The sequence below is a fragment of the Homo sapiens genome, chromosome 9, assembly GCF_000001405.40.
Source record: "Homo sapiens chromosome 9, GRCh38.p14 Primary Assembly".
NCBI lineage: Eukaryota > Metazoa > Chordata > Mammalia > Primates > Hominidae > Homo > Homo sapiens.
Window position 1 is genome coordinate 16195076 of NC_000009.12, and position 19999 is coordinate 16215074.

General features: G+C 42.7%; 1 long non-coding RNA gene across 1 annotated transcript in view; it reads right to left on the bottom strand.

The window, feature by feature from the left end:
- Positions 1 to 8859: 8859 nt before the first annotated feature.
- The window catches only part of LINC03041 (long intergenic non-protein coding RNA 3041), a 72379-nt gene continuing 61239 nt past the window's right edge, over positions 8860 to 19999 (bottom strand). Inside the window, exon 4 of the long non-coding RNA NR_171034.1 lies at positions 8860 to 8963. This is a non-coding gene — a long non-coding RNA (long intergenic non-protein coding RNA 3041). The remainder of the gene's footprint in view (positions 8964 to 19999) is intronic.

Below are 19999 nucleotides of genomic sequence, written 5' to 3' on the forward strand. Positions count from 1 at the left end.
TGAACTTTTCAAATGTCTCAAGGCAATGATTCTACAACCAGTTGCCTCTTTCTAAGAGGCCCAAACATTTACTCGTGGTTCCCAGTCAATATATTTTGTCTTTTGGGGAGTGGGGATCATGGTTTTTAATAATTTCACCCAGTTTAGATTCTTTCCAGTAGAAAGGCAGACCTGGATTAGAATCCTGCCTTATTCCACGTGTGCTACAGGAAGTAACCGTGTCCCTTTTAACCTCTGAAGTTTCTTCCTCTGTGTAGTGGAGTACGTCACCATCACAGTGCTGTTGTGAGGGTTGAATGAAATAAACCACCTAGAGCATTGATTATGAAATGCAAAGTCGAAGTTCAAGAAATGGTGCCTAATGTTGTCTCTTTCCCTTGTCTACAAAATGGATACTTGTTACAAGCCTACCAGGTGCCTCAACCTTTAACCAGTAGGGTTTTCACTACCATGAAACAAGGGGCAATTCCATGTTCGACACATGCTCGGGAGGCTCTGCTGACTCTCCCAGGCCTTCATGGCCATCATCGTTGGGCATGCAGCCCACCACCCTCCCAGCACAGACACACAGATCCCGACCACACACTCCCAACCAGAAATATCCAAAAATACACTAAGAAAAATCCAATAATACTTACTTGAGGTTCTTAAACTCTTTCTTTGGGGGTAGATAGATACAAGGCAGTAAACCAGCATAGGGAAAGAAAAATAGCAAAAAACAAACAAACCAAAAAAACACCTAATAAAAAAATCCCATAGGAAGGAAATGGAACCCCCCCCCACCCACCCCAAAATGGATCTAAACTGTGTGGTTGCCGGAGCTGCTTTCCTGAAAAGAGGGCCAGAAACTGAGAGCATGGAGCGCTTAGACTGGAATTGTTTTCTAAACAGAATTTTTTAGGGTATATTTTTCACATATATTACCCTTTCTCAAAATGCCCTGGCCAAAAGTAGTAAAAATGCTGTACTATTAAACTTAAGTTAGGGGCCTGTGTTGGCTGAGGGACCCAGCTGGGTTTCTTCTGGCAACCGGAGAAAGAAGGAGGCGGGAAAGTGCCACTGCGCCCTATTACCCTCAGGTGCCCATTTGGTGCCAACTGGGGGATGTTTGATTGAACTTGGCCCCTAGCTAAGAACAGTGGGGGTGGGAGTGGGGGAAAAGTAAGAGACAGTTTAAAAAATAATGAAGGGACATAGGTATGTTGAGAAGAAAAAAAGAAAGAAAAATCACATCTGCATATTTTCTGAATGAGCAAGAGAGGTTATGATTACAGCTTCATTTTGTGTTCCTTGTTAAAAAGAGGCAGGGCCTCCTAGGACTTGGCAGTGGGTGCCTAGAGGTATGGTAAGAAGAGGGTGGAGAATGGCCCAAGTTTTATTCAAAACAGTAGGTTTTAGCTAAAGCCAAGTTGGGCAAAAGAGACATGTTCACAAGTCATCACCAGTTGTGGCCAAAGAAAGGTCACTTTCCATCTTGTGATTTTCCACGGTCCTTGGGGACCAAATTGAAAGCTTTAGGGCTTTGACTTTGTCCTCAGGAAAGTAAACTCAGCTTGAAGTACAAGTTCCTGGTGGCACACTGGGTCACATTGCCACGACGAAAGTCCAGCACACCCTGACTTGCTGGAGGATACCTGAGGAAAGGTCTGTGGTCGGAGCTGAGTGGGTTTATTGATCTTACTGGAAAATGGGCATTTCAGCTTCTCTCCAAGGAACCAGCCCAGACGTGTCAGCAAAGAGTCCCTTTGGACACATTGACCCAAGCTGAAAAATGTATGAAAACACTTCATGTCTACTAAATCTGGTACTGCTAGCTGCATTGTCTGATGGTCCATCCAAGAAGAAAGGGAGGGACTGGGAAGAGTGACCGCCTCTCTCTGCAGTCCTATGTCTGCACCAGAGCCGCCTCACGGGCCTATGGGCAGGCAAGGAAGCTGTCAAGGACCTACCAAGCCTTGGCACAAAGATCGCTGCAGTTGGGAAGAACCTTTAGCTCACAGATGTTTTGCAGCAATGAATGGAACAAAAACAATGTCTGTTAGTGCCACCAGGCCTTGCAGTTGGAATCTGAGTTTGGGCTGCTAGAACATGACCAAAGGAAACAAATGTTTGACCAGACATCTGAGAACATGTGTTTTGTTTTGCTTGTGTAGATGCAGACTGCTGGCCTGAGGTGTCTGCTTTTGGCTGAGAGGCAACATGGAGGCCCGTTGCAGACATGCACCATGCCAAATACAGGCAAAGCCAGCCTAGGGGATTGCACTGGTCTCTGTTTAAATCCCTCAGTAAGATGGGTTTCCCCCTGTTCTATTCCAAGTCTAAACTTACAGTGGTTGAAGAGACGGGACAAAAAAACAGGTGTGGTTTGAACCCTCTGGATTTGAACTCTTTTTTTTCTCTCCTCTTCCTGACTTGGATACCAAAGAAAGAGCCTCAACTCACCACTGCTTGGACCACCCCACAATAGCCCCACTCCTTTTCTGACCAGGACAAGAAAGGGGCTCCTGAGGGAAAGGGTTTCTAATAGATCCATCCTGGGATACCTTGGAGGCACTAAAAAAAGAAAAAGAAAGAAAGAAAACCAATTCTGTTCTGGTGATGTTTATGTGGGCTTTTTAAGAATGTCCAGGCTCCCGTCCAGTGGTGGCTGCTGTTTCTCGGTGGCAGAGATGATGCCTGGTTTATTCTTAGTAAAGTGCTTAGGACGCTGAGCCTGAGGGGCTCTGGAATGGAAAAACAAAACAAAACAAAACAAACCGGAGGCCCGCTCTGCCTGGCTCCTAGAGACACGCAAAGCTGGGCAAAGGAAGGAGATTGAGGTGGGACTGAGACATTGTTGCATTGTGAATGCCCCGGTTCCCCACCTCCTGCCCCCCGAATCATGATTGTTTTATGCGGTTATTTTTCCCTTTGGTGAGGAAAATGGGATGTGGTGTCAATTACTGGGAAAAATATACAAAGTCCTAATGGCTAATCTATTCTTCTAAGTATGTGGAAGGCTACTACACCGAAGAGACTTGATCTAATTGTATAATAAAACTCAAATCATTTCCAGCCAGATCGGACATGCCAGGGCTGCTGCTGCTGCCGCCGCCGCTGCCCTGGGCAAGAGAGAGGTGAGCTGACCCTGGAAATTGCTTGTGGGTAAAATCAGCAGAGGATCTGAAGGCAGTCGGGAATACGGCTGCGGGGAGCAATGAGGGACCATAAAGATGTTGTACTGTAAATAGTATCTTCTTGTTTTATGTGTCTCCGTGGTGGCAGTTGTTTTCTCGGCTAGAACGTCTATGTCAAGAGCCTAACCTTGGAGAAAAATCCACAATACTGCTCCATGATGTTCTCTCCCTTCTTCCCTGGACTCGTCGTTTATAGGTTGTCATTTAAAAAACTCACAGCGCCAAGCGTTTTCACATAATTTGTCTCATTTAATTTCATCCTCCCGACAACCCTCCCAGGAAAATCCAATTATCATTTTACAGATGAAAAATCTAAGGGAGGCTAAGTTGTCCAAAGTTTCATGGCTAAAAGATGATGGTGCCAGGACTCAAACTCAGGCTTTCTAACTCATGTTGGCCTTTTCTGCTCTTCCACAGCTGTCCCAGTTTGGGGCCAGCAGGCCCCCTTTGCAAAGCCCTGTTAAGTGATTTTGGTGTCAGGGCATGGTGGAGACCTGAGGCTTGGGAGCAAGGTGTGTGCAGTGTGGAGCTGGTGGAAACACATTTCCTAAAATTAGCTTTCTCCTTTCAACTCTTTCTGATCTGATCTAAAAACATGAAAAGGCTCACAACCACCCGCTTGCATGTAAATCCAATGACAGCTTCTAAGGCCACCACAAAAGGCAAAGCCTCTGTTTATTTAAGCATTGGGATTTAAAAAAAAAAAAAAAAGAAAAATACATCTGGGAGTAGAAGTCATTGGGTTATAAATGAGCTCTCGCCCCACCAAAGAAAAAAATAATAATTATAATAAAAATAATGGCACCATATTCTCTGATAAACCAGTGCCAGAAAAGCTCTTGGGGATCAAGTTTTGTCAGTCCCCAGCTTTTACCAATTTAAATTCTTGGCAGAGTATTAAAAAAAAAAAAAAAAAGTATAAGGTATTTGAAACTTCAGTCCCTCAGGTACTAAATCTAGCGTTTCCTGGCAATAGATGAATGTTGCTGGAGTGAAAACCTAGCACCACAGGACCATATCTCCACGGCTGTTCGTATTTATACTTAACAGACAAATATGTCATTCTTTCCGGATCCCTTTATGGGGCCAATTTTTTTTTTTCCTAATGTGTTACCCACCTACTTCTGATAAAAACGAAGACCAATGAAGCCCAGGACACAGACTTTGAGTTAGCAGGATGCTCTTTGGTATCAAAAACCATGTTTTCCCCCAGCTGCTTAATTCCCTAAGCCACAGGTATAATAAGGTAGGAACAGGATTCTAGATACACAAACCTCGGTGGAGATTGTGAGCAGGCGCAGGATCGATGTAGCCTGATGACATTCATTCCCTGGTCTCTTCACATGTTCTTGTTCTTTATGAGTTGGTTGTGATCCACAGAGAGAGTTGGAACTGAGATGATTTTGCCAGAACTTGGGTTGGCAGAGGCTGTGTGACTCTTTCTGGGCAGTTAGCAGAAGGACCACTTTTCAGTGTTAAGGTCTACACTCATTCATCAACTATGGATCATTTCTCTATTCGGGGGTCCTGCAGTTCTACTTCATCATAAAGCTTTCTCTAATTGCCTTTCAGAATATCTTTTCTATTCCACTCTTTTTTTTTTTTTTTTTTTTTTTGAGATGGAGTCTCACTCTGTTGCCCAGGCTGGAGTGCAGTGTTGCGATCTCAGCTCACTGCAAGCTCCGCCTCCCGGGTTCACGCCATTCTTCTGCCTCAGCCTCCCGAGTAGCTGGGACTACAGGCACCCACCACTACACCTGGGTAATTTTTATACTTTTAGTAGAGACGGGGTTTCATTGTGTTAGCCAGGATGGTCTCAATCTCCTGACCTCGTGATCCGCCCGCTTCAGCCTCCCAAAGTGCTTGGATTACAGGCATGAGCCACCACGCTTGGCCTATTCTCCTTCTAATTAAGTTTCTTCTCTTTTCTCTCCTCTAACCCCTGCTAATGGCATTAAGCATAGTCTGGAAATATCTCAGATTATTCACCTCCCTGAGTCTACAGACCCCATTTCAACCTTCATCATATAAGAAGGGAAGAGGACAATTGAACACCTACTATCTTTTGGGCTCTGTGCTTACTCCTTACCCACCTTTAAACTTGTATAATGAAACTTACAAGCCTCATGGAGAAAGGAATGGAATTAACATCTTAAGTACTTTGAGACCCTGAAAAACACTGCATAAAATATTGCAATGGGACATGTCCATTTCTTTGTCCAATCTAGAGTTTCATATTTTTGTAAGTAAGTGGAAAATGCATCCTTTAACTTTCAGAAAAATGAGTTTTCAGTAAAAGTGTTAAGATATCTCAACCCTCTGTACTTCATAAAATATTTATACCATAACGTGAGGGACACAGAGATGTCTCAGCAGGAATGGAAAATAACTGGGGTGAGGATTTTCAATAAGAAGTTGCCACGGGAACTTTCCACATATTCTGTGAGTACCACGTAAGCTTTAGCCCACACAGCAGCCTTTCCCTAGCTCAGGCTGATGAGATGCTACTCAGCTGTCTAAGGCAGCCTGAGAACCACAGCATCTTCTCATAACAGCAACAAGGTCGACTTTTCTTTTCGTTCTCCTGCTCCCAAAATAAGGCAGCTGCCCAAGGCAGCCTCTTGCTCTCTGCCCTTTCTTTCTATTCCCTTTATAGAGTTTCTCATCTATTCTCTCAATTTCAGCCATGCCCCATGCTGACCCCTCCTTAGGGTCTCAGTCCTATGTGCTTAGCTGCTTGTGGGACATTTAAACATGCTGGCCTCACTTCAAACTCAACATGCCCCAAAACAAACCCTTTTCCTCCCACAGTTTGATATTTGAGCCAATGTCCCCAATTTTCTGGATACGCACATCTGAAATACCAAAACTATTCTCACTCTCTTGTCTTTCCTAGTACTAACAATAGTTCCCATGTATTAATAATCATACCTAACTTTAATTAGATTCTTCCATATGCCATGGTCATTTCATAGATGAGGAACAAGCTCAGAGATGGGAAGGGACTGGCCCAAGGTCACCTCACTGCCTGTGGTGCTACAAGAAGTGGGTTTCAATTCTGATCTTGGTCTGCCCCTCCGCAGAGCCTACACTCACAATCTCTCCATACTTTGTGGCAATCAGGCAGATCCCCTTCAGTTCTTCCCAAGAAATATCTCTTGAAGTCATAAACGCTGGTCTATTCCCAGTTCACCTTGTCCCTCACCACCTTTCTCCTGGACTGATTTCCCCAGCACCATGATTTCCCTGGCTTCAACCTTTTTTCATCAGGAACAACATCAAGAGCTCATCTTAAGGTGCTGTGTTTACCATACTGAGCAAGAAGCAAACTCCAGTGGTTCCCAGGAGAGCAGCCTTGCCCAAACTATGTTCCTGGAGTATTTCACACACATCCCCTTGTTGGAGGAGAATCTGCTCTGTGCCAGGAAGTCAATGAGACAAATGAATGAACCTTTCATGGTAATAAAAAAGTAGACATTGAATGAAAGTTGCATAGGTGATGAATGTTTCGAAGAAAAATACAGAATGCTTTTGGGAGCCCCTGAAAGGTGAGCCAATCTCACCTAGCTGTCTGGTCAGGGAGGTTTCTTTGAAGAAGATCCAAATGCTGTTTATGGGTGTATACTGGGTTGAGGAAAGCTAAAGACATGTCTTTGTTCTAGGTCTTCTCAGAGTGTGACAATGTGCTAGAGTGTAGTATGACTTTTTTGAGGGGATGACTTTGTACACAGCGTCTTCCAAGTGTCCTTCACGTTGCTGCCCTCTTTTGTGAAGCATCTTAGAGGGCGAGTGTTCCACAGCATACTAGTTTAAGAAAGAAAGACTGCCCTAGAGGATAAAGTCCAAGTTTGCCATCCTGGCCTTGGTGTTCCAAACACAATGACTAACTTGACTTGAATAACGTTGCCCTGCCCTGCCCATCCACCTCACCTCCTGTTTGTTAGTGCATCCCCTTCCGCATTAGTGCAGCCATTTGCCATTAACGTGGCTCTGTGCTGCTCATCAGACACCCAGGCCCCCATCCCACAGAGAATACTGCCTTTTCCCTGACCCTTGTCAAGTCATTCTCCACTCTCTAAGGTCCAACTGGAAATTCCTACTGCAACCAAGAAAACACTGTTTCCCTTTCACTTTCTTAGTTCATGTGGCTCTTGCATTTTTTGCAGTCCTCTAACCCTTAGCTATGTGATTCAATTAGATTAGGTAGATATTGGAATCTAAAGACCTTGGTTCTAGTCCCTGCTGTGAATCCACTCTGTGTAACCCTATGCTCTTGGCCTTTCTAAGTTTCAGCTTTCTCATCAGTAAAAAAGAAATATTGTTCCCTCAGAAGCTGAATTGGTTTTTCCTTTAAGAAGTGTTTGTTTAAAAAAAAAAAAAAAATGAATGTGGAGAGAACACATCTTTGCAGAAACCCTCTCTCTTGGTCTTTGAGCTAGTCCATCCAGGCTCTGTGCAGAACTCTCCATGAGTTCTCCATGAGTCCAGTCATCACGTTTTCGTTGTTTCCCTCAACTCTGCTTCTCTGTTCCCAATACTTTTATCAAAGGAATGAATCAAAGAAAAACAGTAATGAATCTAGTAAAGCAGATGATTGGAGGCTAGGAGCGGTGTGATTGGCCTGACAGTTGGGGACTGGGTGCCGTGGGAGGACTGATGTGAATCCACGTGTGAGATTCAGCTGCGTATTGATCAAGTCCATTTGCACGTGAACCTCATCATCAGCTCCTGCTTAAGCCCTAGCTTCCCCGGTAATTGACTCTCGCATATTGATTAAGATGTTGATGTGTCCCAGGATTTCTCGGTGGTGATGCAGGCGCGCCTCTCGGCAGGCCAGGCTGGCAAAGCTCTTGCTGCACGGCTGTCACCAGGCACTCCTTAATGGATAAAGCTGTCATCTGAGAGCTGGAATATCTTGCAGGCACAAAGACGAAATTAACTGTTCAATAATGTATGGGACACGGAAAAAACTTTACCCAACAACTCGAATTGATTGCTGTAAGTGTTTTGACTGCACTTGCCTGCTTTGCATAAAGTCAGTGACTTTGGCAAGCCTGATGTTCACGTACATCCATTTCTCAGCCTCTTGCAGAATAAGAGGAGTTGAGAGACTTCAGCGGCTGCCAGGAATGGGCTGTCTGGAGGGAAGGGGGAAAAGGGGTTGGGGAGTAGATGGCACCACTGACAGACACCTCTCCCTTGAGAGCCTTCAGTGATCTCTGAGCTTTAAAACGATGTGTTACTGGCAGTTTATTGGAATCTTGCTGGAATGGATCATCTTGGGCGAGTTGGGTGAATCACTGGGTATGGAATTCCTGGAGCTCTGTGTCCTCACTTTGCCCCTGGCTTGCCTCCTCCCCTTCCCTGTTAGGCTGGGACCTCTTGCAGAGAGAGGCTGTCAGTCAGACTTATGGGAGGAGGTCTGTTCTTGGTCACACATTTAACACCAGTTTGATAAACAATTTTCATGCATTTAAGTTGGACCCTGCTTATTATTTGGGACTTGGTCAAACGCATGCTGTCTAACGATCCCACAGGTACTAGAAACCACTGTATGTGTCTCCTCCACTTCTCCCTCTTTAACCTGGAAAAGGGGAAAAATACCAAGGTACAAAGCTATACTCTACATGTTTTCTGCCAAGCTCAGCCCTTTAAAAACATAACAGGATCCTTTGAACATAGCTCTGTTTTATCACAGGATCTTTATTGAAGTTTTAATCAACACAAGCAGCTGACAAAATAGGAGACTGTAGATTCGGCTGTACATTATGTATCTTCCTTGTGAGCCTGAAAAAAAATCATAACATTAAAAGAAGAGAAAATAAACAGCCTCATTTAAAAAACAAACGAATCCCACCAAACCAAGGAAATCCTTTCGCACCCGAAGGAAGGCCTGCCGCGTGGCGTGCCGACTGCAGTCCTAGAGTTTGGAGCCTCATGGAGATCATTACCATAAAACAAATAACCATCTCGTTTTTGTCACCCACTATGAGTGAACTCAAAACCTCAGGCCCACGTCCAGAGATTCCTTCTCCACAGGCTCAGCCAGCTACGAAGGGAAGAGGGTACCAGCCCCTGTGTCCAAATCCTTATCCTTTTCTTGGTCCAGCCGCTGTGCCATGGATCTGGATGGTGACTCATCATTCTGCCTGGCAGAGTCCCCTCCTCACCACTGCCTCCATCTCCTTTACTTGCTTCCTTTCTTCCCAAAGGAAGGGTCTCCACTTAGTGTGTGAGGGAGCACTGGATGAGAGGGAGGAATGCTTTCCTCTTTCTATCCCAATCTTGGGTCCCTTTTTGAAGCCCTTCTGCTGTCTTGCACTCCAAGAAAGGTGTCTCCCGGGCCTGCACAGTGATGTTATTTCCACAACTGGTGCATGGAAACTGTTGAAGAGATGGATCCTGGGGGCTGCAGCCCAACTAGTGGGACTCCTGCTTTTCTGGCCAAAGTGACATCTCTTTTCACTGAGAAAGGAAGCTAAGGCAAGGTCAAAGAGGCCTCAGGGGCAGGGGGTGCCATGGAGTGTTGTGATGGAGAGCCAGGCTCTTGGGTTGTTTAGATCTGGATTTGAATCTCAGCTCTGCCTCTCACAAGGTATGGGCCTAGCACCTGGTAAGGTTCTCAAAATAGGCATTGACAAAAGGAATGCATAGGGAGGAGAAGGATGGGCAGGATGTGGTCCAGATGGGGCACCCAAGCAAGGAGGACATACAAAGTGTGAGAAAGATGAGCTGGATATGGTTCCTCAGAAAGGTTTCTTGAAATAACAGATGAATACCTATTGGCCCAGAAGCATTCAAAGGTCCAAGCTAGGACTAAGCACACTGGGGACGGGAGGATTGGCCTGAGCATCCTCGGGGAGTCTGGAGGGTTGTGTGGTGCCACAGGCACTGTTGGAGAGCCTCAAAGGCCAGATGGGGCCTGGGAATGAGCATGTGATTCTTAAATAGGACAGTGGCAGGATCTGTCCTTTGGGAATGATTACTTGGCCATAGTGGAATGATGGTGAGTGGGCCAGCAGGAGCCTAGACACATGCTTTGTCCAGGATGGCCACCTTGTGTTGGGTATTAAGGGCCAGAGCTAAGACTGTCAGCATCACATAAGGAAATGACACGGTCTTGGCAGGTCTTGGGGGAGATGGCTGCCCAGCCATCCTGATCCTATGAATACTGTGGTGGCATTCATATCAGAGTTTCCGTCTAAGCATAAAGATTTTCCAGGAAGCTTCCCTGGAAGTTCTGTTTCTGTGCATCTTATCAATTTGCAACCACATCCAGGGAACTGGGCCAGTAGGCCAAGACTTCTTCCTGTCATCCTTCCCCTCCCTTGCTTTCCTCAGTTACTTGTTCCCTGTGTGCTCTGGCAGACGGTGGAGATACAATGATGAGACACACCAGGTTCCTCATCCCAGATGTTCTCGGCCCAAAGGAGAGAGACAAACCCATAGGCAGGCATGGCCAAAGTGCAGAGGAGGCCAAGAGAACAGGATGACTAACTCAAATGAGAAGCATAGTTCATAGAGACTCATAACTCCCTATTGATCAAGGGTACAGAGGAACTTGGCCTCTCCAAAAAAGCAAGAGAGGTTCCAAACCTTCCTCATTGCAGTGGGATGAAAGATTGGGAGAAAACAGAAGAAATACACAGACGGGTATGATTGGGTCTTATCTGAGTCCATTTGTGCTGCTGCAACAAAATACCACAGACTATGTCATTTATAAATAATAGCAATGTGTCTCTTATAGTTCTAGAGGCAGGGAAGTCCAAGACCAACGTGCCAGGTTTGGTGTCTGGCAAGCCCTTGCCTCTGCTTCAAAGATGGCCCCTTGTGCTGAGTCCTCACATGGCGGAAGGGAGAGCAGAGGTGGGTGGGGTGAACTCGGTTCCTCAAGCCCTTTCTATAAGGGCACTAATTCCATTCATGAAGGCTAATCACCTCCAAAAGGCCCTACCTCGTAATGCTGTTGCATTGGGAATTAATTTTCAATATGCATTTTGGAGCAACACAAACATTCAAACTACAGCAGATCCATCCAGGCATGTGATTTGGTAGAAAACCCAGGCAAGCCCAGCCACAGCAGCTCATTTGAGCACTCGGGCCTGTGAGAGGCCACTTCGGAGTCAACACACAGGTAAAGGATTCGCAGAAAAACTTTGCAATTATTCTGGCCACCTTTAGCTTCTAGATTTCTCTGGGATACAGAAAGTACTTGCGCTTCAGCCTTAGGGAAGAGGAGTAAATTAATTAGGTCAGAACTGCATTTTGTCCTCATGGGTAAAAGGGGGGAATTGTCGCAGAGCTTAGGTAACCAATGGCCAACTCCCCCATTCTGTCTCAGGGCAATTACAGTAAGTGATGTGAAGTGGTGAGAATGGAAATGATTTATTCGGAGAACCTTGTCAGTACTGCTGTTAAATCATTTGTATTTCATTATGGGCCATGAGTGGGCTAGACTACATTCCTTTGCTTCAGGCCCCCTGTGCCATTTCCACAACTGGTTATTTCAGTTGACAATTAACAGGAAATGATGCTAACAGCCCCAGGGTGGTCACTTTTCTGAGGGACTCTGCGTATTAAGTTTCAATTACTTAGAGTCTCCCATCTAAGTCCCCAAAAGGAAATGAACTGCTTCTATAGTTGTCACAGAAAACCAGTTACTTTTTTTTTTTTTTTTTTTTAATCTTTCCCAGTCTCTGTTTTGTCAGTCAAGTTTCAGGAAGTTAAACTAAGAGTTAAACCTAAGGTTCTTTATCTTTCCCAGTCTCTGTTTTGTCAGTCAAGTTTCAGGAAGTTAAACTAAGAGTTAAACCTAAGGTTCTCTGGGGTCTCATCTGTAAGAAACTCATCTATTTCTTCTACAATCCAAACTCCAAAGACAAAGTCAAAAATGAAAAGCATAAGAAGCAAATCATAATGCTGAAGAAAATAGTGTTTGTCTTTTTCCCTTCAATATTTAAATCTCATGTTATGGAGAATGCTGTCAGCAGAGAACCCAGCATTTCCTGCTCTGATGGTCTCCATGCTCTTTCCTTCTTTTCTGAAGACTGCTGCTTCAGGACCACGGAATAGGATGTGTTGGTTCCCAGGGCAATGTAGCAAACGGAGGTCCCGCCCAGACAGGCAGGATGTGCAGCAGTTTCTGCCGACCGCGGCCGTCGCAGCTGCTGTGGTGCCTTTCTGCTAAGACAGCGAGCAGTGTCTGTTTGAAGTCTGTTCTTTGGAAAGGAGACCCAAGAGAACTTGAGCTGGGCTTGTCTGGATATCAAAGTCCAGATTAAAAATTTATTCTAGTGTTTGAAAAATTCCTGGCCAAAACCTTCATATGGATTTAAAAAATACAAACTCCCTGCTTTCTTCACTGTCTCCGATTGAGGACGAGAGGATTTATTTCTAAAAAGAAAAAATGAAAGCGAGGCCGAATAGTTCCATAAAAGAGCTCAGGTCAGACGGCCTTTTAGCTAAATCTGTAAGAAAAGTAATATGTTAAACCACTTTGGGCAACTGGGAAGCACTTGTATTAGTTATCATTTGTGAATCTTTGTTTTTCCCCTTTCCTATTGCATGTCGGATCACCTGGCTCTTTTTGCTGGATGTAAAGGGTGAAGAAAGAGAAAGAGTTTCTATTCCGTATCCCATACTCCTACCCCATTAGACAGAAAAGTAGAGGAGAAAGCTTTGTTTAAAAGTTGTGATATTGGGAGGGAAAAAAAAGATTGCCAAGCAAGCAGATAATGTAATAGTAATTATGAAATTATTGATAAAAAGAACATAAAAATCATTAGGCCAAAACAGAAAAAAATTAAGGAAAGAGTGAACATTTAAGCAATAAAATTAAACCAAGGCCATTAACAAAATATACAGAAGAAGTAGAACTACCTGACATGGGACATTATTAGTGAAATGTGATTTTGGTTGTTGTTGTTGTTGTTATTGTTTTTGTTTGTTTGTTTGTTTGTTTGAGATGAAGTCTCTCTCCGTCACCCAGGCTGGAGTGCAATGGCATGATCTCTGCTCACTGCAACCTCTGCCTTCTGGACTCAAGCGATTGTCTTGCCTCAGCCTCCCAAGCAGCTGGGATTATAGGTGCCCACCACCACACCCAGCTAATTTTTTTTGCATTTTTAGTAGAGATGGGGTTTCACCATGTTGACCAGGCTGGTTTCAAACTCCTGACCTCAAATGATCCACCCACCTCGGCCTCGCAAAGTGCTGGGATTACAGGCGTGAGCCACCATGCCCAGCTGTGAAATGCTGAAATAGAAGTTGAGAATGAGAAATTAGCTCCAAGGGCAAAACAACTAGATGAAGGATCAGGATGAATATATCAAGTTTAGATTGAAAGCAAAGGGCTGAATAGAAGAAAGTGATAGAACCATGTCAACAGACAGAAGCAATGGCAACTATGAAGGCAGACAGCCCCAGAACTACAAAGACACAAAGCAGCCTGCAAAAATGAATGCTAAGCCTTAAATGAATTCATACAGATCCTCTGGTAAAGGGTTTTTGCTATTGTGGTTGTTTTGATAAACTTCATAATTTGAAGTATAACTAAGATACCTAGCATTAGTGTACAGTTTGATTAATTTTTCAGAGTGAACACACCCACGTGACCACCATTCGGACCTGGCCATGGAATAATGCCATTACTGTAAGGCTACCATCTTTACTCCCACATTCCAAGAGTGACCCCTCTTTGGACAGCCATCAGTATAGATTAGTTTTGTCTGTCATTGAAGGTCCATAGAGTCATACAATATTTTTTCATTTCTTCCTTCACTCAACATTATAATTTTTATCCATACTGTTGCACATAGTGGTAGTTTGTTTATTTTCAGTGCTATATAGTATTCCATTGTATATATGCCATAATGAACACCTTTCTCCTGTTGATTGATAGACATTTGTGTTGCTTCTAGGCTCTGGCTAGTCGAAATAGCACTGCTATGAATATTCTTGTGCGTGACTTTTGATGCCCTTATACACAGATCTCTTTGTGTATGTATCTAGGAGAATGATTGATTGCATCAGAGACTATGCGTACATTAGCTTCAGTAGGTACCACAAGAACAATTTTTCAAAGCATGACATCAGGTTCCATGCCTGCTAATGGCATGTAAGAATTCCTGTCGTCATTTCAGATTCTCACCAGTATTCAGCATTGTCAATTTATCTGAAATTTATATTCTAATAAGAAAGTGGTTAACATTGAATTGTGATTTTAAGTTTGCATACCTAATTTTATATATTTTCATAAGTTTGTTACAAATTTAGACATCTTCTTTTGTAAAGGGACTGTTCAATAATTTTTTGTCCATTTTTAATACATTATATGTCATCTTGTTGTTGTTGTTATATAAGAAATCTTTAAATATTCTAGATATATTTACCTTCTCCCACTCTATGAGTGGTATATGTATGTCTGTGTTTTCTTTACTTTTTTTCATGAGAAGTTGTTAATTTTAATGAGACCAATTTATCAACCTTTAGTTTTATCGTTAGTAAATTTTATGTATTGTTTTGGTTTATCTACACCAAGCTCATGAAGTTATTCTCATAGGTTATATTGTAGAAGCTTTATTGTTCAACCTTTTATACTTAGGCCTATGTTCCATCTGTAATGGACTTTTGTGTATGGTGTGAGATAGGGGGTCAAAGAATTTTTTTTCTTTTGGAAATCCAATTAACCCAGACATTTGTTTTCACACACTACATTGCAGTGGTGCCCGTGTTGTAAATTAGGTGATTTCTATGCAGCTCTGTTTCTGGACCCTCAAAACTCTGTTCCATGGGTCCATTTGTCTCTATTTACACTAGTATCACACTGCCTTAATTACTGTGGCTGTGTAAGTTTTGATATCTCTGGTAGTACAAGTCCTTCAGCTTTCTTCTTTTTCAATTTTGTCTTGACTATTTTTGACACTTTGTATTTCTACGTAAATTTTAGAATTAGCTTACCAATTTTAAGAAGGAAGGGAGAGAGGAAGGGAGAGTGCATGGGAGAGAGGAAGCAAGGGAAAAAGGAGGAAGGACAGAGAAAGAAAATCTGCTGGGATTTTGACTAGTATCGCATGGAAGCATAGGCCAATTTGAAGAGCGTTAACATTTTTACAACTATGGGTCTCCCAATCCAATTTACATGTTATATCTCCTCATTTATTTAAGTCTTTAAAAACTATTCTCTGCAATGTTCTGCATTGCTGTGCATTGGTCAGGTGCATATTTTGCTAAATTTATTCCTAACAAGGTGCTTAATTTTTTAAATACTATTATAAATGGCATCAAATTTAAAGTATTATTTTCTAATATTTGTTGCCAGTATACAAAAACATAGCTGATTTTTGTATGTTGACTTTATATTCATTAGTTTAGCTAAATTGCTGACTCATTCTAATAATTCACCTGTAGATTCTATGCATACAATCATGTCCACAGATACTATCAGGTTTGTATCTTTTCTAATCCTTAAATTTTGAAATTTCTTTTTCTTGTCTAAACTACTCTGGCTAGAACCTCCAGTACACTGTTACATAGAAATGGTAAGAGTGAACATCCTCGTCTTGTTGCTGGTCTCCAGCAGAAGTGTTCGTATTTCATTATTAAGTACAGACTTTTATAGATGAAAGGGTTCCCTTCTAGTCCTAATTTGATGCCAGTTATATTTTCAGTGATGAACAAGTTCTGAGTTTTAACAAATGCTTTTTATTCATCTTTTGAGGTGTTCATATGGTTTTTCTTTATTTTGTTTCTGTGGTGAATTATATTGATTGATTTTCTAGTGTTAAACCAACCTTGCATTTTTAAAAGAAACTTTATTTTGTCATGATATCTGATCCTTTTAAAATATCTCTAGATTTGGTTTGCCACTAGTTTGCTCAAGAGTTTCATATCTATATTACAATGAAGGATTGGCCTATAATTTTCTTCTCCTGGAATGTCCTTGACAAGTTTCAGTATCAAAGTAATGCTGGCCTCATAAAATGAGTAGCAAAGTATTCCTTTTTCCAGTCCCTGGAAGAATTTGTGTAACACTCATTTTTTTTTTTCCTCATATGTTTGAAATAACTCCTCACTCAAATGTCTGGGCCTCAAGATTCCTTTGTAGGAATCTATTTACATTATAGATTCAATTTCTCTAGCAAATATGTGAATATTCAAATTATCCATTTTTTCTTATGTCAATTTTTGCATTTTTCTAGGCGTGTGTCCATTTCACCTGCATGTTCAAAGCCACTGACATAAAATTCTTCATAATATCATCTTAATATTTTGTTTAATGTCTTTAGTGTGTGTGTTAGTAGTTTATGCTTTTGATTTATCTAGGTCAGTCTCTCCAGGGATCTATTTATTAGGCTTTCCCTGAAAATATGGACAAATACATAGAAATTCATTATTCAATAAAAAGTTAAGAGAATGCCAACTGAAAGATATGTAGTGTGTTGGTAGTTAAAAGCAGGAGAAATTGTAATTGATTGGGAAGCTCACAGGGGACTTAAAGTGGGAAATAATTGAGATAAACCTTAAAGGAAAGGTAGAATGTTGACAGTATTAATAGAAAAGGCATTATTGGCATAAGAGAAATTTGGATAATGTGCAGCAGGAAATTGAGAAAAGATGGGAAGGTCTGGACAATCAAGAGATTTGAGTCATAGACAATGAGAAGACACCGAATTCATATTTTCAGTATTTTCATATGTTGACTATTTGGAAAATATAAGGAACGATGTTGAGGAAAGACACTAAGTTGTCCAGCCTGGTGACTGGGAGAAGAAAAAGAAGGCAAGAGGAAGAGCGTTTCAGGGTTAGAAATGTTTGACTTTGTAGGTCCCAGTCAAAAGCTGCAGGCTGGAGCCAAGACAGTGGAGGAGCTGTCAAAACAAGCAACAGCATGAGGATGTGATCAGGCTGTGTCCAGAACCATGGGCTTTAGTCCCTTTACAGCATAAGAGGAGGAAGGAGTCAGTGAGCATAGACCAGAGAGGGGAGCCTGGAGCCACAGAAGCCAAGAAAGCAGGCTTTCTAGTAGGGCAGAGTTCATTGTATCAGACTCTACAACTCAACCGAGGGATGAGGACCCAGAAAGCCACTGGACTCAGCATGCGGGAAGTCACTGTGGGCCTTTGTGGCATATATTGAGATAGTAAATGTCTGGTGTCAATGGGAAGAGAAAGAAGAGAGGGCTTCATTCTAAGGGGCATGCTTTTCCAAGCTGTGCAACCCACTCTGTCTTCCATTCACAATTATTTATAGGTTGCCTGCCTATTCCAGTCACAAAGCTAGGTAGTGATCAAAGTAGACATGACCCCTCTCCTATTGAGCTCATATCTAATGAGGAGCTAAACATCAAATAAATATAAAGAAATGATTAAAAACCATGATTAATGCTTGGGGAGAAAGAAGAGGGAATTATGAGAGAGAATAAAAGGAGGAGGCCGATTTAGATTGCAGCGGGGATTGGGGAACGCCTGACCATGGATTCACATGTAGAGGCATGAAAGAAAGAGTTCTGACAGCATTGAAATAACAAGATGGGCTGTTCGAGTGTCTCCTTCAGGGGCCAAGTAAATTCTGGGGTTCTAGAACTTGCCGGGCATCATGACCCCACAACTTCATCTAATTCCCAAACCTCCCTCCCCATCACATGCCTGTCTTCAGGAGACGGAGAATCAGTCAGAAAGCAGAAACCACCACAAGTCAAATTAAAGGAGAAAATGTGTAGCTCAAGGCAAAAATCTTCTTCCAAAGAACACAAGGAAGATGAATCTACCATTGTTGAGTTATAATGTTGGGGGATTATGAAGGCTAATATGATTAATTGTAATTATCATTTATAATGTATACTTATAATGATATTGCTTCTAGAACATCTTCATTATCTTTCACTTTTGAAATGCTGCTTGGGCTTCCCAACAGATTTCAGAAGGGGCTTTTATTGGGCCCAGATCATCAATCCAAACCTTTTAAGGTAAGGGTGTTGCTACCTCAGAAGCCAAAGAGACATTTCCTGTCCTGGAAAGCACTAAATAGTCATTAGCTTCTTCAATCTGTTTACCAGCCCGCCTGTCACTGGGGTTCGACAGGCCTCAAAATTAACACTCTACTCTATTTGTCCATCACAGGGCTGTCCCACAGACTGCGGTTCTCAAGTGGCCTCAGGCAAGCCTTATTTCATGCCAGAGCTAAGTTCCTGGGGAATAACATGTCTAAATTGAATTTGGTTTATTCAGGTCCGTTTGAAATGAAGCCTTGTTTAAAAGAAAGCCATACTCAATTTTATTTTTCAAGCAAATCTATCTTCATCGTCTGACCTAATTGGTCTCAGAGACCCTAATTTGGAGAGTTTTCATGCCCTTCGTTTATCATTGTGGCAACGTCAAAATCAGGATGGTTTCTTTCAACCACCTATGCTGCCTTTGTAAGAGCAAGGATGCTCCAAGCAACACTGGTCTCCCCAAGTGTCAGCGAGGCCCCTCTCTCCATAATCTCTGGCCACCCTCTGTCTGTCTCAGTTTCTTCTGACTTCACTGTAGGGCTCCCCAGGCCTCCTCAGTCTTGTCTGTCTCACCTGGACACCTGCTCAGTGGGAACCCATGTCCTTGACCATCTCGGCTGGCCCATGCACCTTGGCCTGTTTGTATTCAGACCTTTTGGAATCCACAGGGACAACTCACCAGTGACCAGGGGCAGAGCAGCTGTATCAACTCAGCTTGGGGAAGCTCAAGTATCCAGTGATCTTGGCTGTGTGGAGTTTGAAATGAAGCCCAGTGTATTACTCACGGCAAAACCAGGGGCCAGCCAAGTTAAATAGAGCACTCCCCGAAACATTCACGGACTGATTAGAGAAGGAAGCTCTGATTTGAAGAGAGGCTATTTTGTGTCTGCTTTTATTTTTTTAAACAACATGCTTTCCATTAGTGAGATGGGAAAAGTAGAAACCTGAAAGAATGATATTTATTAATTTAAAAAGTTCAGGTCTGTGACCATATGCCATGTCCCTTTGACTTCATAATAATGGCCACACTTTGAGGTCTTCCTTTGTCCAGAAACTGTGGTAAGCACTTTGTAAGCACTTTCTCATGTAATCTTTATGAAAACTCTGTGATGTAGGTACCGTTCTTACTCCTGTTTGCAGATGGGCAAGCTGAGGTCCAGAGAGAGTAAGCACACACTATTTTTAAGTGGTAGAGCTAAAATTTGAACCCTGGCAGTCTGCCTTCCTATTCTTGCCCGCTCTTAAACAAATGCAAGTACCCAGGAGCTTTCATGAAGAGAACCCCTCAAAAGAAAGCTGACATTACCCCACGGGTTCATAAGTGGGTGCAAGTTTTTTTTTTTTTTTTTTTTGAAAGATCTCTGAAGGCCAGGAATTCAATAAGGCGGAACACACCCCACTGAACCAAGCAGGGCTTGAGTTTGCAGATTATTTTCCGACCAGAAGGAGTTCATTGACTTGGAGGAAGAAAGGAGATCATTTAATGGACTTACAGAAAATATTTTTGTTTTCGCTTTTTTTCTCTCGCAGAACAGTTCAAATCTTCCAGGCCACGGTTCATTCCCTCTGTTGGCCTTTCTACCTGGGATTGTTATGAGAGGCCTGAAGCTAAGTCCCCGTGTCCCCCACTGGCCAAGCCTGCCCTCTCGTTTGGTCAGCGCACCGACACTGCCTTTGCAGCTGCATATCCACGTAGATATGTTTATTGGAGCACTGAGAATCTCACTTCTCAAAAAGCCCCGGGAATTAGATTGTTTTCCACACTGAAAGTTTTCATTTGAAAAATAACCCTCTTTGTTTAACTAATGAAAAGGAGGGGCTGCTGCTCGCT